The 25,379-nt window shown below is 37.7% G+C and overlaps 1 protein-coding gene and 1 long non-coding RNA gene across 44 annotated transcripts in view; both read left to right on the top strand.

Moving 5' to 3' along the window:
* ESRRG (estrogen related receptor gamma) overlaps positions 1–25,379 on the top strand; it is a 634,457-nt gene that overhangs the window by 368,130 nt on the left and 240,948 nt on the right. The gene's annotated exons all lie outside the window — the stretch shown is intronic.
* LOC124904512 (uncharacterized) lies at positions 9,294–25,330 on the top strand. Its single transcript, XR_007066880.1, has 2 exons — positions 9,294–16,395; positions 25,062–25,330. It is a non-coding gene; the product is annotated as an uncharacterized LOC124904512 (long non-coding RNA).

The raw sequence follows: 25,379 nt of genomic DNA, 5'->3' as shown, positions 1-25,379 counted from the left end.
TTCATGTATGCACTAGATTGTTCTCCTCACATAGTATTATCTTCCATGGCTCACCAAGACCTGTAACTATGCCCATAGTTTTAGCTTAGAAGTTGAGGCCTTTGATGACCTTAAATGATCTTTCCCAATGTCATCTCACACTATTTGCCAACATACTTAAATAAATTTGGTTTGTTTACTCTTTCAGTTCTCTTCATGGTTACTTATGTCATCCCACCTACCTGGAATACCTTGTGAAAACCCATTATTCAATGACTACTTCATAGAACACCCCTGGGAAGCAATCCCTGATCACTCTGTTTGCAGCTGGTCTTTCTTTCATCTGAAATGCAATTATACTGTTCATTCTTATTTTGGGACATTAATCAAACATTCCCTGCCATAATGGTCTTCACTCTCCTCAATTCTCCTGCTAAATTCTAATCAATTGATTGTCTCCTGAAGTAATCCTAAGCTGGCTTCTGAGGTCAGGAGGCAATCTTTTAATCATTATTTTTTTTTTGGCCTCCTTTTCCTAAAACATCTATTCCATGCTTCTCATGTCAATAACATACATTAGGCATTTGTTGAAGTATATTATGATTAAAATGTGACTTAATGTCAGTTCTATTTTAAGGCTTAAAATACAGGGGTGCAGCATAGACTCTAAACCATATATATGGGGGGGATTTAATTCCTGACTCTTGTTCTTAGTAGAGTGTAATCCTAGACAAGATATTCACTTTTCTGAGGTTGAGCTTCCTTGTATATTGAATTTATTTATATAATATTTACCTCACAGAGGCTGGGCACAGTGGCTTACCCCTGTAATCCCAGCACTTTGGGATGCCAAGAAGGGAGGATTGCTTGGGGCCAGCAGTTTGAGACCAGCTTGAGCAACAGAGCTAGATCCCATCTGTATAAAATATTTAAAAAATTAGCCAGATGTGGTGGCGCATGCCAGTAGTCCTAGCTACTGAGGAGGCTGAGGCAAGAGGGTCACTTAAGACCAGGAGTTCAAGGCTTCAGTGAGCTATGATTGTGCTACTGCATTCTAGCCTGGGTGACAAAGTAAGATCCTGCCTCTAAAATATAGATAGATAGATAGATAGATAGATAGATAGATAGATAGATAGATAGATAATGATAGATAGATCTATCTATATCTATTTACCTCACAGGATAATTATATGCAGTCAATGAATAAAGATGATTTATCCTTTCTCCAAGAAATGTTTTTAAAGAGGGCTTGTATGAGGAAACTATAGATATTAGGATATTACAGCATCATTTGTTCTCCTGAAATTTCACATCAACCCTTTCTCAATGGTGTATGAGTGTTTTACATGCTATAACAGGGCAGCATAGTTCAAGGATATGTCTTGGAATTTGGAGAGGCAGATTCCTCAATTTGAGAATAGAATTTTCCTTGTTAGCTATGGCCTTAGTCTGGTTGCAGAGAATAGTACCTGGATTTCCTCAACTGAAAGTGTGATTATAACCCCTTCCTTTCAGGATTTTGGTGAGGGTTAGAGACAATGTATGTTCAATGCCTAGCACATAATGGGCCAGCCACTTTCAATAATAAAACATACCAACAATGTGGGTAGGTGCAAAGAATTTGTTGACTTTTCACCTTGACTTTAAAAATTTTATTTTAGTTAATAATCTCAGCTATAGCTTCCTAATGGGTTACTGTCTTCTTATGAAAGAGTTGTGTTGGGAACAAAGCAACTGACAGTTTTAAATCACCTTCTTTTCTTAATAGGCCACACTTTTTCTACCCATTTTGTCCCCACATCTCGTCCTGGGAGCAAATGCATACTTAAGTTTTGAAGCCCAAACTAAATACAAGCTACTGTAATGAGAAAATTCATTTGAAGAAAAAAATTGTGTAAAGGATTCTCTTGTGCCATTTGTACATTCACATAGCCACAGGCATGTGACTGCTCTCTAGTTACTCAGTTATCTGCTTTGCACTGTATAAGTTTTGTATCTGTTTAAGTAAACTGTACTAGTAGCAATCAAAGGCTTAAAGATTGCTTATGTGTTTCCAAAATGAGATATATTGAAAATTACAGACATCATGGAGCTGTAGCTGACAAAAACTCAGTATCTTGTTATCCAAATAGCTTTAAACTCATTGTTACCATAACCCATGATAAACATTGCAGGTGATTAGATTGCAGTTAACATATCTAGATGGCATTTGAGTCCGTAGGCTCAAAAATCCCCCCTCTTTCTTTCTGTATGCCCTTATTTTTCAGAAATAGTGTCTTTGAAATTTTGGCCAATACCCACTCCTTTGCGTGTGTGTGTGTGTGTTTTTTGTCCTTTCTTTTCTTTTTTTAGAAGCCAATGTAACTTCAAAAATATGAGTAACTAGGAAAGAAAGGAAAACCTTGTTAACTACGGATAGTTTGCTGAGTCAGCATGATGAGACAAATAAAAAAGAACACTTTGAGTCAGGTTCACTACTTATTATGACCTTGGACAAGTGCCTTTCCCTTTACTGTACCTCAGTTTTCTTGCCTGTTAGAACAGGGAGTTGGATTATATGATTGTAAGATCACCTCTAGTTCTTAAGTTCAGTGGTTATAAATGATTCGAGCTTCATCAGGTTTTATTTGTAGGGGAAGAAAAATTTCTTTAGCTCAGAAAAAGATTATGTAATAACCACAATCAAATATATAACATCTATGCTAACTGAATAATGGATAGAGAACACTGGATCTACAGCCAGAGGCATTTGGTCTGAGTCATGTCTGACCCCAGAGAGCAGAATTATTGAGATCAGTGATGGATAAGGTAGAGCCTTCTAAAGAGACTCTGACTTTCTTTTTATATAAATGCTGGCAATAGGTCAGTGTCTCTGGTGTAACTTCTGATAAAAATTAAGGACATCTTCTTGATAGGTAGTGAAGCATTTGTTGCCATCACATCAGATATCACACTGGTTTTCCCACTAAATCAGGTACAGAATTCCAAAGTGTTGAGATATTTTTTTTTTTAGCACTGAAACCTATCGAGTGTGCTGCGGTCCCAAAGCAGTTCATATGGTATTGGAAAAGTTCCAGTAAATGAATGAACAGTTTTCTTATTTCTTTTTTTATCTTAGTAATCCCCAAATTTGGACTGGGGCTGTGAGAATGAGAGGGAAAGATGGCAGGAGTGGGGGCATCAGTAAGAATCAAGGAAAAGTCAGGGATGATTTTCGCCCACTCTCTCCTTACATTTTCCTCACTCCTCCTCCACATATACGTCTTCTCTGCATAATTGTACCTCCCTCCAGAGTGCCCCAAACAGCAGCAGCTATAAATTCAAATATCCAATGCAGGGAGTTATCTTCATCTTTGTGGTGGGCTGAGAATTGATTAAGCATAAGAAAGTGGAGAAAAAGAGAGAGACATAATACTAACATAATAATAAGGACCGGGTTCCTTTGTCCCAGTTTTTCCATGTGAGTGCACCTCCGTGAGGACAAGTATGCTGAATGAAGAGATCAAAACCCGACAGGTTCACTTTACAAGATTTGTGACGAAGATTGCTTTGCTTTACTATTACATTCTATTTTTACCTCCACTGCCTTGAGATATTTTGAGTTTCTGTTTCTATTGCTACTGATACAAAAAGTTACATCAGTCGCAAGAAATGAAAGGTGAAAAAGAACCAGGGATCCGTAATACTCCATTTGTGAGTAACAATAAAGCTGTCTTCAACCTCAGCATGTCGAGTTCAGCTAAAGTCCGGGGATTAGCTCAGTACCCACGTTATAGGAACAGCATGTTCAAAAGCTTTGTCAGGCAGTGGAACGCCCCACTGCCAGTAGGAAAAAAAGCAACTCCAAGGCTGTTCAAGGGTTTCTTGTCTCTCTCCAGATCCCTTAGTGTCTGACTACACCATCATGTTTCATGTTTTCCTCACACCCCAGGCACCTTTATGTCCTCTATTTGTTTGCTCACCTTCTTCCCTCAGCATGGAACCCACCTTCCCTCAGAGAATGCCTTTGGAGAGAGTAGAGCAGGATAACTGTCAGTACAGTCCCAGGGGACTTGATAAACTTGATAAACTAGGTAAACTTGTCCAGATAAATTTGGCTTCCTGCTAGCTAGCTGTAAACTTGCACAGTTAAGTTAACCTTTCCCTGCCTCAGGTTTCTCATCTATAAGACTAGGGGTGATCACAGGGCTGCCTTATCAGGCTGTTGTGAGCATCCAACAACTTAATGCATAGAAAGTCCTTATAGCAGTAGAACACAATAAAAATTCAGTAAATAGAGCCATTATCATCATTATTATTGTTGTTAATAGTGTTTTAGTCATTCACAACCTCAAGAGCTGTTTTATTTGTGATGTTTTCTCCCTTCCTGCCTCCAGCCCTTCCCTTCTCTTCCAGGCCAGACATCTTCCACCTGCCCCTCCAGGACAATCTCCAGCCTTAAATAAGACAAATATTGGTAATGGGGCTCCTGGGTTTTCTCACTTCCACTTGGCTCTGGCCATTGGGAAAACTCAGTAGGAGATTGGAGAGAAGAAGAAGAGTAAGAACAAGATATTTATACTCCAGATTACTGCCCCCGGCCCTCACCAAGCCTTGTTCTGGATGTATCACTTGGTCGAGTGTCACCGCTTCCCTGAAGGGCGGCTGTTCCACACAACTCTCCCTCTCCCAAGTTCTGCACTCCACCCACCCCTCTCACTTTGGGCCTTGTGGACTAGTTCCACTGCTCTTCACCCTGGGTTCCTGCAGCATCTGTTGTTCCCCTACCCCTGCAATTAGTCTCTTTAAATTAGACCCTTTGTAAGTCAACCCTCCTGGAATGATCAGAGGTTAAATGAGCCATCTGTTCGCTGTTGGATCTCTTAGGGATACAAATTTTTTTTCTTTCTAGTAGAAAATATCAAATTTCAGTGAACATAACAATCAACTATGTCCCAGTGAGGCAGCACACACCTATAGTCCCATCTACTTGTCAGGCTGAGGAGGGAAGTTTGCTTGAGACCAGGAGTTAAGAGTCCCCCCCTGGGCCGGGCATGGTGTCTCATGCCTGTAATCCCAGCACTTTGGGAGGCCTAGGCAGGAGGATCACTTGAGGTCAGGAGTTTGAGACCAGCCTGGCCAACATGGTGAAACCCCATCTCTACTAAAAATACAAAAATTAGCCAGGCATGGTGGTGTGCACCTATAATCCCAGCTACTCAGGAGGTGAGGCAGGAGAATCGCTTGAACCTGGGAGGCAGAGGTTGCAGTGAGCTGAGATTGTGCCACTACACTCCACCTTGGGGGACAAAACAAGACCCTGTCAGAAAAAAAAAAAGAGTAAAAGAGTCCAGCCTGGGCAACCTAGCAAGACTAGCAAGACTCAATCTCTAATTTTAAAAAAGGGGGGCAGTGGGGGAGAGAAAGAAAAAAAAAGAATCAATTAGGTAGTTTGTTGAAAATGCAGATTTGCAGATTTAATCCAACCCCTAGAGACTCTGCCTCTGATCTGAGATGAGACACAGAAATTTGTGTGATTAACAAGAGCCCCTGGAGATTCCGATAGCCACAGAAGTATCATACCTTGTAAGACATTGCTTTGAACTATCTCAGCATTTATTTCAATCTGTCCTGAATTTTATTTACTTTTTTTCCCCAGATTAGTCTTCTCTTCAAGACTGTAACACATTGAATACCTACTCGGTGCTAAATATTCTCATAAGTTTTTATATTTATTATAGATAATAATCACAAACCTACATAGGCCATTATTATTCCATTTTATAGATGACAAAACCAAGGATCATAAACATTGAGCAGTTTACCCAGAGCTCGTAATTATCTGAGATCCATCCACCTCTACATCTGTTGGGATCCAAAACCTTTGCTCTCTTCATGTGACTGCCCATGCACAGTGAAAACTTTAACAACTTAATGTTGCAGTAAATTTAACTGGGAAGAACAACTGCAAATCAAAAAATAGAATTGAACTTAACCTTACAATATCAGGGGAGGTAATAATCGACTTTAGCCCAAAATGCTAAGCGTATATTAATATTGTGACCAGTTTTCTCTTTGATAATTTATTTTCAGGTTTCTCTTTCATTCTCCTCCCTCTTTTTTTCCCCTCACACTCCCTCTCCCACTTATCCTCTGATACACCTTACTGGTTAGGTAGTGTGAACTCAAATGGGATTTGTAAAACCAAAGGGTTCAAAATCAGTATAACTACTGCCGTTGAGAGCAAAGGAGTTTGTTTTTTGTTTTTTCTAAATAATAAAGTTTCTGTTTTTCTTAGTGATTTATTGAAAATTATGGTGCCTCCTAAAGAGACTTCATAGCCAACAACAACATGTTATGGCCTGAAAATACACTCCAGACACTTTTATTAAATATTATATGAAAATATATCTAATACATTTAAGAAAGAAAACCCAAAATGTAGAATTGAGGAAATGAGCTCAACTGATTTTCTCACATCAATGCCATTTCCCAGTGTAAATAGCTTCCCAATATAATTGTCTCCCCTTCTTGCCTGCACTAACCCATTTTTTTAGTTGATTTTTTAGCCTATAAATGGTAAGAACTGATCAAAAGAAAATTTCTATAGGAGTTAGCACTCTTAGGTAACTTATGAGTTTAATCCAAAAATCATTTGTTACATGCTTGCTTCATAGGCTATCAAAAATTTACAGTCTTGAGAATTTCATATGAATAATAATCCAGGGATTTGTTTGTGTAAGGTACTTCTACACTTATATTGGTATTCCCTTTCCTTTGGGGAAGTGTTTTGAGCTCAAGAATTAAGTTTTTAGACCTAAGAACTGTTGCAGAAAAAAATGCTCCCTAGCCTATCTATTACTACAGGGTGCTCATTCTTTTTATTTATTTATTTATTTATTTTTTATTATTATACTTTAAGTTTTAGGGTACATGTGCACAATATGCAGGTTAGTTACATATGTATACATCTGCCATACTGGTGTGCTGCACCCACTAACTCCTCATCTAGCATTAGGTATATCTCCCAATGCTATCCCTCCCCACTCCCCCCACCCCACAACAGTCCCCAGAGTGTGATGTTCCCCTTCCTGTGTCCATGTGTTCTCATTGTTCAATTCCCACCTATGAGTGAGAATATGCGGTGTTTGGTTTTTTGTTCTTGTGATAGTTTACTGAGAATGATGATTTCCAATTTCATCCATGTCCCTACAAAGGACATGAACTCATCATTTTTTATGGCTGCATAGTATTCCATAGTGTATATGCGCCACATTTTCTTAATCCAGTCTATCATTGTTGGACATTTGGGTTGGTTCCAAGTCTTTGCTATTGTGAATAATGCCGCAATAAACATACGTGTGCATGTGTCTTTATAGCAGCATGATATATAGTCCTTTGGGTATATACCCAGTAATGGGATGGCTGGGTCAAATGGTATTTCTAGTTCTAGAAATAGGCTCATTCTTAATAGCTCCAGAGCCTTGGGCAATTTACACAGCCCTCCAAGCTTCATTTTGCCTATTTGAAGGAAAAAAGGGCATTTAATAATATAACACCCATCCTAGAGTGTTATTGTGAGAATTAATAAAGCAATGGGTCTAAAGCACTTGGCAAAGTGTTGGTATGACTATTGTTATTGTTAATAGCCACTACAAGGTACCATTATCGTAGTACTTGAGAGTCAGACAACTGGAGAACTATATATACACCCTCAGGGTGTAAAGCATGAAACTGATTCCCTGAAAACTGGGGAATGGATTGAAGAGCTGGACAGCTCCAAGTTGTATACCTTAAGTCACAAACTAGTGGAAAGGAAGAAAGGACTTGTAAATGAGCCATATCAATTTTCCCATTACTTGACAAGTATTAAGGTATTTCAAACTGTGGTCATATTTAAGCCTAATACAGAAAGCACAGCCTTTTAATGCTTGGTAATACAGGTAAAAGATTAATTTTGCTTCTTTTCAAAGTATTGCCTTGTTGCTGTTATTACTGTTTTTAATTGTTGTATTCTTTAGATAGTAGGCACTGGCAGAGACAGGAAGAATACAGTGAACCCAAGTCAGCCCATTTGATTATTTGTAACCACTCTGATTTGAGATTTGTTGAGATAGATGCTTCTGGTGACAATGAAATTATGGATCATTTATGCACTCACCAAATATTTACTCTGAGTCAAGATATAAGATTACCTGTAAGATTGTTTTACTTTGTTTTCTGGTTTCCATTACTGAAATTTGCCACTTTTCAAAACCTTGTTTGATTCTGAAGACCAGTACACTTATTGTATTAATTGTTTAAATTAGGAAATAATCATTTTACTCAGAGCTGACTCTAGAAGATCTAGAGTTTACAAAAAGGAAATACCAGGAATTGATAAAAAAAAAGGAAGTATGTATAAGGTAGTAAAACTCACCTTATTTCTAGAACAAGAAAATTTTTTTTTTTTATTTGTGTAGTAGGTTTATCAGGAAGCAAATCTCAATTTAGATCTCACTTTCTATATCTCCTTTTTTTTCTCTCCTAGACATTAACACCTGTCCCCAGGGGGAGGTTGAGGTGGACTTTGGAAGGGGCAACAGTGGGTTGGGGCTGCTAGATGGAGCCGATATGAACAAAGGAGACTGAGCAAACGAGAGACTTGCAGCCCTTGAAAGGAATGTCCACCTGTCTTTGCTGTCTTGGCCCTCCTTTCTATTCCTCTGCTTATACATTCTTACAACTGGGATGTTTTATCACCTCCCACCACCTCATAATGTCTAGTAGAGTGTCTATCCTATCAGCTAACGATCAATGACTATTGATTAAACTGAATTGAATTCTAAGTACATATTAATAAAATAGTGATTTTCCTGGTTAAAACTGCAAAACATGAAAAGTGTACATGCCCTCCTTCTTCTGATCCCTCTGCTTAAGCCTCCCCTTATCCTTTCTGGGATGTTTTTAAACTCCATTCAAAATGTCCTTTATTCCCTCTCAATTTAAATTACTTAATTTATGTTATTTTTAGAGAAAAGACCTCCCTGTGTCACCCAGCCTGGATTACAGTGGTGTAATCATAGCTCACTGTAGCCTCAAACTCCTGAGCTCAAGTGATCCTCCTACCTCAGCCTCCTGAGTAGCTGGGACTACAGATGCATGCTACCACACTGGGTTTTCAATTTGGATTTTAAAAGAGCAAAATCTCAGGCCATGGATATCAGTTATTATATATAGTCGTATATTGTCATATATATATACACATATATATGCTTATTTATATTCTTATATTATTCTCTATATCTTTTCTTATATATATTCTTCAGAATATAAATATTCTATCTCCATTTTAAAAGAATTTGAGATTTTTTTATTGGTTATGAGAAAAAAAATTTATTCTAAGATACACACCCTTTTTTTCTATGCATCTATCCATGCAGGCAGTATTTATTGGGCACCACCTCTGTACCAGGCATGGTCCCTTGCGCTGGGGAGACAATGTTGAACAAGACAGACCAGTCCCTATCCCTCATGGTGCTTACAGACATGTGGAAGACATGCACAGGATGTGGGAAAATCCTGGATGCCGTGGAAACCAATCAGAGGGACACTTACCCCGTTTAGGGATGCAGTGAATGGGGGCATACCCCTGAAGAAGTGACATGTGTTCTAAGATCTGAAGGTTGAGCAGGAACTAGGCAAGTAAGGAGAGGGATGATAATGTACTAGGCTAAGGGACCCATATGTGCAAGTGCTTGGAGGCAAAAGTGCTTGTCCCCTCATCCCTTCTAAGGAGCTGAAAATAATTCCAAAAAGCCAGAGCAGAGAGATATGAATGAGGTATGACCTTCAGATTCTCTTCAACAAATTATTAGAACAAGAAAAAAATTGTTCTATTAGTATAGTAGGTATATTAGGAAGCAAATATTAGTATACCTGGTGCCTACCTAGTGCTTGGGACTAACAGATATTCAATGAATAAATGTTTTCCAGCTTATCAGCTGACTGAGTGGCTACTCAATACTATGTAAGGAGCTTCAGATTTTGATTTCTGCCTTCCAATATCTTTTGGTTTTATTTGGGAGCAGGTGGAAATTGAAAAACAACAAAAGGGTTTTAAAAATCAAAAAAGAACTCAACAGAAGAGCAGGCAAAGGTTTAAAGGCCTTGAGTGAATGGGGGGAAAACCATGTGGTGGGTGGAGGAGACCCTTAGGAGGTTTGCTGGGGTACACAGGGCTGTAGCTGGAACCTGAAAGTTTCCACCTGGGGAGACTAAGTCAGAGAACTTGGACAGAGCCCCTCCGTTAAGCTATGGTGGCAAAACTGGGTAGTTATTTGTTGAAGCAGCCTTTGCTATCTGAGCCTGAGCAGCAACAGGCAGGCTTCTGCTGCTAGAAACTGTAGCATAGAACCATAATATTTTCCACTAAAAATCTGGGGCACATTATCTGGCAGAGGTACAAAAACTTGCAAATTAGAACTCTCCCAGGAACTGCAGAATATATGATCGTTATAGACATGGATTTTCAAATTGGTGTGATGGCCAGTTTTAATAGGGCCTTATGGCTAGGAACATATGCTTCAAAGCCAGTTAGACCTTGTTTGAAATGATGGTACCAGCAGTGTGACCTCCTGCAAGTTTCTTTACTTCTCTCAGCCTTAGCTACTTTATCTGAAAATGGGGATAATAATACCTTCTTAGGGGTTATTTGGCTGTTTCCATGAAAAAAAATATATAGTAAGTACTCAAGACCATGTCTATGCTAAATAATAATATTATTATTAAGATACTAGTGATTAAGCCTAATTTATGGGGGTAATCAGACTCTTTTGGGAGTACATAACCCCCTGAATTCTTTGACTTTCCAAGTACCCATCATTCCCAGGTCTGTAAATGTGTTTTTGTTCTCAGTTTAGCCTTTTATCAGGATTCCCAAACTCACTGATTAGGCTGGCTTGTAGGCGCCAACCTGAAAAAGAATTTGACTTTCTCAGTATTGGGAAAATATTTGTAAAATAGTACAGTCAACAAATAAATATACTGTAGACTTTGAGTCGCTTTAAAAAAAATTGCCCAGGAGGTTAAAAAAAAAAATTCTGGACTCAAAATGTTAACTGGGTTTGGTTTAGTATTTGGACAAAGAAATCCCTGCTCTGAACTGAGCAGAGAGATAAGCGCCTTGACTTGCAATAGATTAAGAGACTTGCATTGGTGAGAACAAACCACGTCTGAGGCTCTCCCTGAGTGCCGCCACATTTAGATTTAAGATTAACTGCAGCCGAATGGTGGAGCGGCTGTTTGTTTTATGAAACAATCGCTAATGACATTAAACAGACGGAGGCCCTTCCAACATGATTGTTCATTTGCGATAAACTGAGAGAAGCCCACAAGAGACTGAAAAAGAAAACTCATAAGTGCTTCATTTTGAGGCTCTTACAATATTCTATTGGAGGTGACAATTAATGGAAGTGAATGGGAATCTAATTCAGAGCACATTTAGATCACGGGAGGAGGAGGTATGGCAGGAAAGAATCAACATGAATTTGCTTGCTTTTATATTTATATTAAGGAATCAAGTCATCATAATTTCATGACAAGTTTTCCAAGGAGGATTTTCTTTCTTTCTTCCTCTTCTTTTTTAATGCTGTTTATTTGTTCATTTCTCTTATTTCTGCAGCTCCTGGGCTCCTAAATCTGGCACTAAGCATTAACTGTATTAAAGAGTACTATCTATTAGTTCAATTAGACATTAGACATTTACTTTTCAATGTATTTGAAGCCTGATTTGATTTGGGTTCAGTCATTTAAAATTAAGAGAGCAGAACTGTGTACAGAACTGTGTACAGATATCTGTGGCTCTGAAGTCTTAATTGCAAATTCAGATAAGGATTAGACAGGACTATATCTCTCTAGACCATAGGTATTTGCTAATACCTGAGATAGAAAGGTTGTTAGATTGTAAATTTACTACTTCAAGCTTTTTGCCTTTGGATTTTTGTTGAACTTTAATGTTTTGGTTGAAAACAACACAGTTTGCACCAGCATTAAGAGTGTGGATGTGGGTAAAATCTCAAACAAGCCTCACTTACATTTTCATTATTTTGGTCTAGCTAAAAACTGAAATAGTGTTTATTTTTGCCAAAAAAAAATTGTCAAAGGCCATGTTGCAGCATTAAGCTTTTGTTTTATACACAAAGAAATATATTAATGAAAAGTGTTTTAAGTGCTTATTATAGAGATGGTTTGTTTTGAAACATGGGCTTTTTCACAGCAGTTTTACACTTCATTGTGTACCATGAAAGACATTCTAAGTAGAGGTTGTCAGTCTCCCATCAGAAGTAGAGTACTGCTGGGGAATGAGCCATTTAGGATGTCACTCAAGCAGGACTAATCTAGAGTAGATATCTTATAAATAACCAGTAACGAAAAAACAAATCATTCCTCTCCCCACCAGAGCAGAGAGAATTACTGCTTAGGAGAAGGAAATCTTTATAATAAAGATTTACAGTCTGAATTAGTGAATTGTTTAGAGCAAAGCATTGCATAAAGTTGCAATGACAACCTGAGATAGGAGTTCTGGGAGCTGTGGAAATGCCTTTATGAGGAGAGGGAATGAGTTTAGAAGGACTTGTATACTGGCATCTCCCACCTTGGTCTTGGGGAGATGGGTGTGCGTACCCTAGACATCTCAGTTATGAGATATGGGCCTATTTGTGATAATGTTTTTCAGTCTCTACTCTAGGACATGCTGTTCCTGTTGGATCCCAAAGATATTCCCAAACCCAATGAGGACCATTCTTTGCATAGAGAATTGTTGTACACATTTAAAGTGTACAACTTTTCTATTACATGATAGAATATAATGAGAGTACTAAGAGTATTTTCAGCTTTCTGTTATTTCAGTGTCAACATTTCGCTCTTTAATTTCTTGAAGTAAATACTGGCCTCTTTAGATATTTGCAAGTTCTGTAGCTTTGGAAATCTTATTCATAGCTCCCCTTCCCTGCCTCGTTCTCTTTTAAAGTAGCTAGAATGAGCTATCTCTCAATTCCTAGTGGGGAAAAGGCTTTATTGAGACCCATTGTGAGAACTATATCTGTCAAAGAGAGAAAAAACCTGATTTTCTTGATTCTGATAAGTACAAATTCCTCTCGTTGAAGCTCCTGTTGTGTCCAAGTTGTGGCGATATGCAGAGAAAAATGAGTAGGAATGCCTGGCTGGTTAAAATAATCTTCTCGATCCCCCACCCCAAATCATTCTCTTATTCCAGGACCAAGAAATGGCACATTTCCCAAACTCTTTGAACTTGTCCACCATAACATGTCATTCTGATATCCTAGAATACAAAAAGAAGAGAAAAAACCCTAATATTTATATATTGCTTTTTTTCAGTAGTTTGGTTTTGATGAGATTGGGAAGAGAATGGATTTTATTGAATGCCAGGGCTTTCCATTTTATTGCATCTATTTCCACACATGCCTGTGAATTAGATAGAGCAGATGCTATCTACATTTTTCAGATGAGAAAATTAAAGTACACAGGCTTCCTTAAGATCTGGCAGCAAGAAGCTAGATTTATCTGGGGTACAACAGCATTTTGGGAATGCACACTACTTGGGTCCAAACTATTTCAGGTTTCTGGGGGAAAGTTAGTTTTTTTAGATTCCCTGTAATGTGCAGGGGGGCCAGGGTCAGGCAACATCTCTGGATTGCTACTAATAGGGACCCCTCATCCAGGAGGAAAGTATTCACTATTTAACTACAATCATTAGCAAATACAAATAGCCCCTGGAATAGAAGAAGTTGAAAACTTTGAAACAGTATATATTGCAAAGTAAATCCTTAGCATAAAAATGCATACTGTTTCTTGTTGTTTCTGCCACTGATGGTCTACACTAAAGGAAGAAGATTCAGTTCTATAAACATCTACTGATTGCTCTGATTCAGCTACTTGAGACTCCACAGAATTTGGAGATTGGGTTTTGGGGACTGACAGCAAGGATTGAGTTAAAAAGGTCATTCTTTCCTTATATGTGGGGACCATGTGAGGTAAATATAAGAAAATAGGAGTAAAAAGGAATTTTATTTTCACCAACCACAGTATAATATGCTATTGAATATAACAAAGCTATTTTCTATATAGTATGTAGTTTGTATATAATTGATAATTCGGGATATGATATAGTCACTTTGATAATTTAGCCATTTATTTAACCAAATGCTCCTTTTTACAATATACAGTAGCTGAGTTTGGGGGGCTCTAAGATCTAGAGTCCTGGTCTAGGTGGAATGAAGGCAAATCATGACTTGAAATTCACAAATTAATTTTTGCTTTAAAGGCAAATCATGTAATTTGCTACCACTCTGGGAGGAATGACATTTAATATAAAACCATAATTCAGGAAATTACAGAACATCAAAAATTCACCAGTTTGCTGCTTTGAAAAAAAGTAAAGTCAGTTTTTATTTAAAATATCTTATTCAAAGAAAACAGTAGATGTGATAAAATCATGAATTGCTTTGGAACCTATAAAATATCCGCTATGCAGCCCCTTTCTCTTTATTGTTCTTTGTAAATGTGTTCATGGAATACCCAAAATATATAAACATGAAAGCCATACTCTCCTTCTTCCATAGTCTATCATCATCTGCCTCTTTTAAGAAGGCCTAGTTACATGTAGCAAATTTGATGTCCCTGTCATCATCTTGAAATATTTGTTGAATGAATGGATGGATGCATTCCCCATCTGTGTAGTCAGTTCTCAATTATCCATTATAATGGAGTTGAAATAGAAAAGGAACGTTTGAGAGTGAAATCCACAAATCATTGAGAAAGTTCATGTGATTCATTACTTTCAAAGTTTCCCACCAAATCTTTTACGCAACACGCAACTAGATTAAAATGTGGCAAAAAAAAAAAAAAAAAAAGTTCTTTCTCTTTTGCCTGGTTGTACTGACTTAGATACTAAGGAATAAAATCTGAAATTAGTGACTGAAATAAATATATAAATAGAGCCCGGCGGCTGAATGATTATCTGTGAATCATCACAGCAGTAGCTTAGGCCAAACTCATTGTTTCTTATATAGAGTTCCTAGGCAGATATTTTTTAACAGTTGCTGGTAAATCTGAACTAAGGGTACAGAAGGAAAGATGCTCCCAAAAGGATGTTGAATGATAAAAGTTGACTGTCACCTTTGCAGTGTGATAGAGAGGGGAAAACACAATTTAAATGTTTTAGGAAATACTGAAAAAGATACGGGACTCTAGAGTGAAAGTTCGAGATACTTCTGTTCTTTTGTAAAAGTTAATCCTGAGACAGCACTATATCATGTGAGTATGTGTGTAAGTGTTCTGGAGGGAAGGCCTGGGATTCCCCAGGGTTTAGACCCCTTGGTGAAATGTATAGGCTGGGTCAAGGTCACATTCATTTTGGGTCTTATATTTCAGAATATTTGGAAGGAAGAAGGTTTCGGGTTTTTGTTTTTCCTCCATCTCTTTTAAAATGTCTAGCTGCTTCCCATTAAGTTACTTTTGAAAGCTCTTATGTTTTGGGAAGAAAAAAATGGCAGTAAAATCAGCATGGTTTCTGACAAAAGGCCTGAGAGCAGCAATGGTAGGATAACCAAATGCCACACAGAGTTGATAACACTGAGTGGAGTCACAGCTGAGCAGAACAAGCCCAGGAAGTCCAACTTTATGTTGCATGAAAGATCACTGGTGACTGATTTTATTCCTGCTCTGAAGAAAATGTAGACAATGCATGCACACCCGGTCCTTCTTACGACTCCCCACCTCCTCCCTCCTGTTATATCTGAAGCCAGGGTTTCTGACACTCTGATACAAAGTCATAATACATAATCCTTAATACTTCCAAAGGGTCCTGGCTTTTCAGCTAAGAAATTAGGTATGCTTTAAGTTTATTTGGACTATACCTATACACTTTGTTAAAGGGCTATACCACAGGAATGTAAGAATATATACACTTTTATGTATTTGCACAACTATTATAAAATATGTGGAAAGCCCAAATGCACCTCTGATATTAACTTTTTTAAAATCAGAACATAGACTTAAGATAAAAGGAAACTATAAGCAATAGCAGTATTAGTTTGTTGAACTCCTTTCCTGACATTTTCTTTCACTGTTTTTTAAAAGGAGGGTGGCAGTAATCATTAATATGGACTTTAAAAATACCCTTTGATGGTTTTCTCTTGCCATGTCTCATAAATTCCAACCTTCTTTGATAAGAAAAGTGTCTGACATTACAGACCAGGCAAAACTCTCTGAACATTAATTGAAAGCATCCAATTGAATTGTCATATCTTTGCAAAGAAGTAATCATAAGCACTAGTGTGTAGTTTGAAACTTTCGATACAGGAATACAAGAAACATGTTTATGTATGCGTAGGAAGTTCTAATGACAGGTACTACTCTGTGTGTGTGTGTGTGTGTGTATCAATATATAGATATATGGTCCTTTGCCTTTGGTTATCATTTGCCCATGTTAATTGGTAATGCTTATAGGTTACAAAGACAGCAAAGCCACACATATTATTTCCATTAATAGAAGTGAGACATCATCCTCATCATCCTGGTATAAACTTACTGGTGGTTCTGCATCTACCTTTCTTTTATTTTGATAACTTTTAATCTTGATAGATTGAAAAAAAATAGTGAGAAGGCAGCAAAATATTCTTCTTGAAACAGTTCTGTTCTAATCACTGTAACAATTTTACTATTTTAATTCTCCCAACAGTCCAATGAAGTAGTTACTATTCTAAGCCCATTTTATGGAGGAAGAAACTGAAGTACAGTAAAGTTAACTAACTGGCCCAAGACCAGAGAGCTAATAAGAGGCATGGATGGGACCCAGCCACTGTTCCAGAATACATGTCCACTACACTCTACTGTTCTAAAATACCCTAGTATAGGAAGAAAGAAATGTCTCAGACTCAAGCAATTAGTAATTACCATCATACTGAATCCATGCTGGGCTAAACAGTTCTTTGATTTGGCCAGTTTTAGTTCAAATGCCCAGAAGTTCTTTCTGAAGAGAATAGGACCTCTAGCAGTGTGTTCTGAACTGCTTTCCAGAGGTAAAGGGAGGTATGTTTCTCCTGTTTGCTTCAGGAAAGAAACATAAGTAAAAGTAAAGTATTCATTCCTGTCTGGCATTTTATCAACTTCACTAAAAAACTTTTATTTTTTGTTCTTTAGAGGCAGCTGAGATGAATTGTTGCAGAGTGCCTACCTCTTCAATAAGAAATTCATTCTCTCCTGTCACATGCACCCGTAATTTCCATTGATAGAACCTTTCAGAAAATGGAAATGAAATGTATCTGAAATTTCTTATACAGCTAGAAAGCAGAGAAAAGCGGAATCTGCTCTCTTGCTATTGAAGCAAAGGAAAAATTGTACATTTTTTTTACTGGATTTTTTACAAAAATACTTAACTCTTTTACATCTCAGTTTCCCAATCTGTTAAATGGGAATAATAGCCCTTCCAAGTGCTTGAATATTCTAGGTTTAAAAGGCCAAGTGAGCTTAGAATGAAAACATCTATTTTCTTTCAGTGCTGTGGCTAAGGACGCCTTGAAGTAACCAAGCCACAGAGCAAGGATGATGGCCTTTATCGTGTAGAGAGTGGACGACCAGATGGCAGAGCCCATTCTACATAATGACTCTCACTCTGGTGGTTTGTAATTTATGAAGTAGCCTTCTAATCAAAGGCGCTGTTGGCTGCCAGAGAGCTCAGCCACAGCATGGAAATAGCTTCTTCCAAAAAGAAAAAAATATATATATCAGCTGAATATTCTTCCATCTAATACGATAAACAGTCTAAAACACAAGAAAGGTTATCACCAATGATTCTGATTTTTATTTTGTAAACCTTGAGGAAAGAAGCGAAGGGACAGGTTATCTAGGGAGGCCTTTTCCCTTGACTTTATCAGGGAAGAAACAGGAACTATTCTAGCCATCTTGTGTCTTTTGGGTCTACTGGTGGCTCCCAGGCCCTGATGCCTAAGCAGGGAGGAAAAAAAGGGAAAAGAATAAAGGGAGTGGAGGGGCAGGCAGTGAAAGGGCAGATGAAAGGGACAGGAGAGAAATGATGAAAGGGGTTTGCACAGCTGGGCTGAGGCAAAATACCCCCCACCAAATGTCAGTGGTTGCTCAGAGACATCAAAAAGGCACTGGAGGAATTTCTCTAATTTCCATAACCAAAGTTAAAATAAATCAGAAGTATGATGAATATGGTAATAATTCTGCAACCTCTTCTCACAGTCCCTAAGATTTTGTCCCTTCATCTCTTTTGCTGTGACTAGCATTTCTATTGTTCATGATCCCAGTTCTTTCTCTAATATGACAACAGCCTCACTAATCTAGCTATAGCTGAAGTCATAGTTTCCAAAGAACTTCACTTGATTTAGAGACATACACTGCCCCATTTTCTCTTAAGCGTGTAAGGAGACTAAGAATAACCCATCCACTACTTGGTGTTGGGTACATTTTCAATCTGGCATGCCAAAATTCCCAACTCCAGGGTGAGAAATAAATCTGTTTCTTTGAATAGCAATGAGAAAGATGGGTAAGCATTTTAAAAGGGTAGATGATGAGAGCGGGTAGCAGTGCTAAATGGAATTTTATGTTCTTATGAACCATTCAGTATAAAATGATAGGGTGTTTTCTGATTAGGTGATTTTAACTTTTATGGTGAGAAAATGGTTAAACACAGAGCACTCTCCTAAGGTATTTCTTATGAAGCCTTTTCTTCTTTACTGAAAGCACATCAGGGAAATGGATGATGCATCTCATTTGATTCAAGTGAAACAGTTTAAATTGTTATGGCTTTGAGTTTTTTTTTAAAAAAAGGTAAATAACTCTCTTTAGTGAAGAACTGTATCACAGTATGTTCTTCTTCGGGTGGTGGCCTGGTGCCTATCAATGTATTAATTTGTGACATTTGATAAATACATGCCACTGGACAGTAGGTTGTCAGGACATATATTTATAAAGGGTCCTAGCCTATAGAGTTTTCATTTTTAAGCCAAGATCCTAGCAAGTAGCATCATCTCTGAATGAATTGTATTTAAATAGGGTTAGAAAGAAGATCAGTAAGGTAAGAAGATATGCTTTAAGAACAGCCATTCATAATCAGAAAAGCCAGGAGATATTTTTTTAAAAGACCACAAACTATTAACTGAAGAACAGCTTTTTAATGCAGAGCTTTGAAAACTGGACATAGAATATCAACTAATAGAGAAAGAAAAGAGGTAGCTTTCTTAGGAGAGAGAAAGTCTATCACAAATGGAATGTGGTACTGAGAGGTTGGCTAGCTGGAAGGCAAGCCACAAGTAGAAGAGTGATTTTGTTCTCTCCGAGGCGATGTCTGCCAGATTAGAAGCATCAGTGCCCTCTATTGTTCACAGGAGAACTGCAGAATTGCCTGAGAACACAGGCCAGGCATTTTTTGCCTTGTAAACAGACTTCTCTACAAACTGCAATGGATGATAATCAATAAAGCTGAAGGAAGGGAGGGAGGAACGAAGAAAGGAAGGAAGGAAGGTTGGTTGATTCATTTGTGGTCCTCTTTGTAATGTTTGAGCACTATTGTCCAAATGCTTAAAACATGAAATCTTTAAAATGTTTTTCCTAGACTAGCTATTTGAGTTTATTAACATAAGACATATTCCTCAGAAAAAAGGTGCAATTTACATTTAGTGATAGATGGGGATAAAGTTTATGATGCAAAAATTCTTCTGTTAACTTCATTATACTTATTTTTTGTTTGTTTTGATAAACCTCTATTTGCCAATTAGCATTTGACTAACTTAGGTAGAAAAATGCTGATATTAATATCTAGTTTTCTCCTTTGCGTAATTATACTTCCCAGTAATGATTTCGATCTGTCATCATCATGGAAAATATGGGGACTGGAAACTTTTTTAAAGCTAAAATAATATTAAAAATAGCATTGCTCAGCTATGTGTTTTACCAAATTAAAGATTACTGCAGGAATGACAACTTCATTCAAGCAAATCATTTGGAATTACATTAAACAGCTGCTGTTAAACAGCTGACGACAAAAGAGACCATTTTGATCTCCACAGCACAGGGAATCTAGCAGGGCGCTCCCTGCATGGGGTTATGAAGAACATTGTGCTCCTGTGGACCCACACACAGCGTATTCCCTATCGCGCTTGTTGCCAAACACTGGGCTCTCTAATCACTTTGTATTCAGTCAGAGATCCAGGAAGTCCAAATCCAGCCAGACAAATGCAGAACAGCTTAGCAGAAGCAGCTTTAACAGGTGCCGTCGGTATGGTCTTAGGGAACCTGAGAGACACGACAAACCATGGGGAGCATTGGTCATTGGTGTCAGTTTGCCCAGCGCACTGGATGGCACCAGTCACTGAACAGCAGTTTGCCACAGAGACCAGTTAATTGATCCTTAAGTGATGGCATAACAGTGCAAAAAAAAAAATATTTAGACACCTTAACTGTGCAAGTTCCCAGCAAACAGGCTGCTGCTGGGTCTCTTGCCTGCTCTCCCTGCTCCTTATAGTGCTAGAAAGAGAATGGACTGGAATAAAGAGCATGGAGCCATGACAAATTAAAAGGGATGGATGAGAGATTTGATTTAAGCAGGTGTTGTCTTTCTACGTCGACCGTAGGCAACTGAAGATTGCCACCCCATAAGCATAGACTCAAATGGATGGGCCCCTCCCCAGCTCTGTGCCTGTCTATAAGGGTATGTGGTGCCCCCAAGGAGACCACACTCACATACCATGTTTTGAGATTATTTCTAGATGGAGACAACCACTGCACTCAGATGTGAACTTGCTTTCTGTGCGTCGTCTGCCTCAATAACAGCACTTGATTTAAGTGAGTTTGAAAAAGTTGGCTGGCCTGACAACATCCTTCCAGATTCTGTCACTTTATAAACACAGGGATGACTTATATTCCCCACAAAAAAATCAGAATTTGTGTATTGGCAAAATGTTCATGAACTTACTTGTGTAACTTGAGCAAACACAAGAGAAATAAGAGGTTTCTGTGTGTTCAGATACAGCAAGTTGCAGAAGAAATTTGAAAAATCTGCATTAAGGTGGACAACAGCCTGTATAAATAGTTCTATTAATATTTAGACTCTTGGCTTGGTACTGATAGTAAAAGGGAGAGAGAGAGAGGGAGAGAAAGCAAGGCCACATTTTAAATTATTTGGAATTTCTGGCAAAGTGTTTGCTTCTGCAGTTGGGAAAACATTTGACTTTCTTGTATGTTTTTCTTATTCTGCTACTACTGCATTAAAAAAATGGGGTCCCAGACAGATTAGAGTAGCTAGGCATTCTGGTGCCACAAAATGTCCATTTCCATTCCGTCTGGGTAGCATGGATTAACTAGTGTGATACTTGTAACCTGTTCTGAGCAAGTGTGGATCTAGGCTATACATTGACAAGTGAATTGAGAGTCCACTGCTTATGAGGGATTCCAGCTTTACCCTCTGCTTCCAAAGCTTCTTATTTTCTAAACTTTATTTGTAAATCAATAATTACATCCCAATATAGTCCTATCTGAATGCCCTACATTTTAAGAGTAATAACTCTATTTCAATAGTATCTTTTATTAAAGTTCATGTTACTGACATCATAGAATTAACCTTTATACAATCACCTTTCTAGTTCATTTGCAAGAAACTAAAGCAAAATGGAGTTGATAGAATAAGCAACATTATAGGCAAAATGAGGGAGGAAACCTACTGGATTTTATTAATTATATCTTAGCCTCCTGAGCACTGTTGTTTTTTGAATTATGCCACATACTGTTTTCATAGATTAATAATATTTTAAGGTTTGAATAGACTTTGTATAAATTAGTCCTTTTTTCTCACAGTAAAGTTGGTAGGCTGAGGCCTAAAATGATTGAACGTTTCGCTCAAAGTCCACAAATTGCTCACAGCAGAACCAGAATTATACCAGTAAGTATTTTGGTATTAAGTGTTTATGGATTATTTGATAAAAATCATCATAACTATTTTGGAAGGAAATGCAATCATTGTGGGCCATATACCCAGTTGCTCTACCTTCCTGTGTCTGGGATATCCAGAGAAATCAGAGAGAAGCTGTGTTGCTGGGCATAGGGGTAGGGGAGAGGGATTTCACCCAATCTATCATTATATCCTTGTGATGCTATAAAGGACCTGTGCAGAGGAACAGAGCCATATGAATGATATTGTGAGGACCTAGCACGTGAGACAAAGAGGTATATGAACACTGACATTATTCCCATCATATGGTATTGCCATAGAGTGAGGCAGAAGAATAAACACAGGGCTAAGACAGAAAGAAGCCTGGTGGGATGCGGGTAATTACTCTCAAGTTTGTCTCTGCCACTTATGGGTTGATAGAATCCCAGGCAATTTAAATGACGTCTCAGAATCCTTGTTTCATAATCAATAAAACTGGAAAACTAACATCATTTATCTCACAAATAGGTAAAATCAGATTAGGGGTGTGCAAGCATTTTTGGAAGCTTTAAAGTGAGATGTTTGTGCTAGAAATTAATAAAATAAAACAAGTCTACAAAATACAAATTCTATGAAGCCTGTTTTATGAGTTCTTTGATGAGGTTTCCTTTGCTAAGTCATACTGATAATTACTGATAATAATCTAAGGTCTTTTGAATATATTGAAGGAAAAAAATTAAGTTAAATAAGGCCGTTTTAAGGAAAATGGTTACAATTCCTTGCAAACAGGTATAGCACAAAGTAAAGCAAAATAGTGTGTGCACGTGGGTTTACATGCTTCATTTATCTGATGAACAGACAGTTTTTGGAAAAAGGGACCAGTCTTTGTTTATTTAGAATTTGACAACTCTGTAAGAGCTTTAAGTTAGGAGATGAAGATTCAGTGCACATGTTTATTATTTCATCAAACATTTACCAGTTTTATCTATTTAAACAGGTCACTAATCAGCTATAGGATCTAAATAAATGGTATGACGTTCCAAGTGATACCTTTAAAAATGAATACATCTGCCTACATTTTCAAATTTGACACCATCATTCTATCATTAGGCAAGCAAAAATACTACGAAAATTAAGAACTTTAAGCAAAGAATTCTTTTAAAAGTTAGCTTTGGTAACTTCTGTTATTTACGGTTATGTGGATGTCATACTATTTGGGATATAAAACACTATATATATTAAATTAATATTTTTCCAATGAGGGCATTTTGCCTGTAAATATGAATATTTTATTAGTTTGGTATCATTTTTCTTTTCATCAGCCTAGCTTGGGCCTCCTCTATTATACATTGCTTCCATCTAGGAAAAGCATGTGTTGTAGCAGAAAGAGTTCAGACCCTGGCAGCAGATAGTCCTGGGGTCATATTCTGGTTCTGTCACTTACTAGCCAGGTTTCCTTGGATAAGTTAATGTTTGAGCTTCATTTCCTTCTTTTTATTTCTTCATAAAATCAGAATCATTATCACCATAATATCTACTTTTTACATTATTAAGATTGTTAGATAATTGCACAATAAAAGAAGGCTGTTATTATTTTTACATTATTGAACTTTTTTGAGGTTGAGCAAAATACTGTAAGTAAAGCTCTCAGAACAAAGCTTAAGACATAGTAGGTGTTCAACAAATATTTTTCACTTCTCTTTGAAACAAACTCTACATTAAAGCCTATATTAAACCCTGTATTAAATAATAACACCACATTACATTTGTATACTTTTTTACAATTTACAGAATGAGTTTGATACATAGATAATTGCCTTCTACATGAGGACTGAAATATAAATATACATCACCATAATACAATTTAAAGATAATAGCCATTCTTTATTGAGTGTGTCTTTTACAGATGAGTAAACTGAATACAGAGAGGTTAAGTAACTTTCTCAAGGACAAACTCCTAGTAATACACAGAGCTGACATGGAAACTTACCCAACCTCCTAATCAATTGGCTAACCAGCCTGCATTGAATACACGCATTGAGAGACTGGACAAAGGGAAAGGAGGGGGCAGGGGGAACCTCAGCCTTCAACTCAAGAGGGTAAAAACTCCTATGCATAGCACAGTGTCTGCAATAGAGAAAAATGTTACTTAAGTGAATGAAAGAAGCAAAAACATATTGGGCATGGTGGCTCATGCCTGTAATCCCAGCAACTTGAGTGGCCGAGGCAGGAAGATCGCTTGAGGCCAGTAGTTGGAGATCAGCCTGGGCAACATAGCAAGACCCTGTCTTTGGGAAAAAATGATGGGAAATAAACAAACAAACAAACAAACAAACCACATAGGTGTGCATGATGGTGTGTGCCTGTTGTCCCAACTATTTAGGAGGCTGGAAGTGAGAGGATCGCTGGAGCCCAGGAGTTTGAGGCTGCAGTGTGTCATGGTTGTGCCACTGCACTCCAGCCTGGGTGACAGAGTGAGACTCGACTTAAAAACAAACAAACAAACAAACAAAAAACAAAAAAAGGATGAAAGACAAGCAAAATGTGAAAGAATATAGCAAAATCCAGGGAGTATTGTCTTTAATAGGCACACCTCTAACCGACATCCCATTATAAAAGAAAAATTGAGACCCTGGGCTGAGTTCTCTCATGGCTCAGCCAGCAATTTCTTGAGGAACTTTAGACTCTGTTTTCTACTCTATCGAAATAGTTTGCAAACTTTGGTAAATAGAGCAGAAACATACACACTTGCTAATATGGAACCAAAGTTAAACCCTGCTCAGAGAACTACAGAAAAATGTATATGCCTGCCCTCACCTGGAGAGCTAAATGAACGGGTACTTGAGAAAACCTAGTCAGACGACATCATGAAGGCTGATGTAGCTTCAATGGCAGTAAGCCAGCAATATTGCTAGAAGAACAGATGGAAGATGGGACACATTTGTAGCCAAAAAGAGACTACTCATAGGTAACACAGCATGTATTGCCAGGAATAAAGATGGTGAGATGTAGAAATAACCTCTATAAGTCCTATGTGTGTGCATTTCTTAAAATCAGGTTATTTTTAATTGTTGGACAAATTTTGAAAGTTTTTGCCTGAAATCTGTGTGTTTTTGGCATCGTTGGACGTTTGCTTTTAGGAGTGTGTACAGAGGTGTGTGTGTGTGTGTGTGTGTGTGTGCATGTCTGTGTGCACATATTCAAGTGTGTGGTACTAGACTCAGATGGGATGGAGTTGATTAAAACATCGAATGAGTTACCCTATGAATGTTGTACAGTTGATGTTTACTTCCCAAGGCAAGAATATGGGCTTGCATTTCTCCTGTGTGTAAATATTTTGTTTAGCGCCTAGTGCAGTGCTAACAACAATGTAATAAATGCTTGCCAAATATAGTATAAATAAATAAATTGATTTAGCACCCAGAAGTTTCATGCTCTTTATTTTATTGCCGTTTGTTCAGAGGCACAGAGG

Source organism: Homo sapiens, chromosome 1, assembly GCF_000001405.40.
Source record: "Homo sapiens chromosome 1, GRCh38.p14 Primary Assembly".
In the NCBI taxonomy this organism is placed as follows: domain Eukaryota; kingdom Metazoa; phylum Chordata; class Mammalia; order Primates; family Hominidae; genus Homo; species Homo sapiens.
Note: the sequence above shows the minus strand (reverse complement) of the source record. Positions and strands in the feature narration are given on the sequence as shown.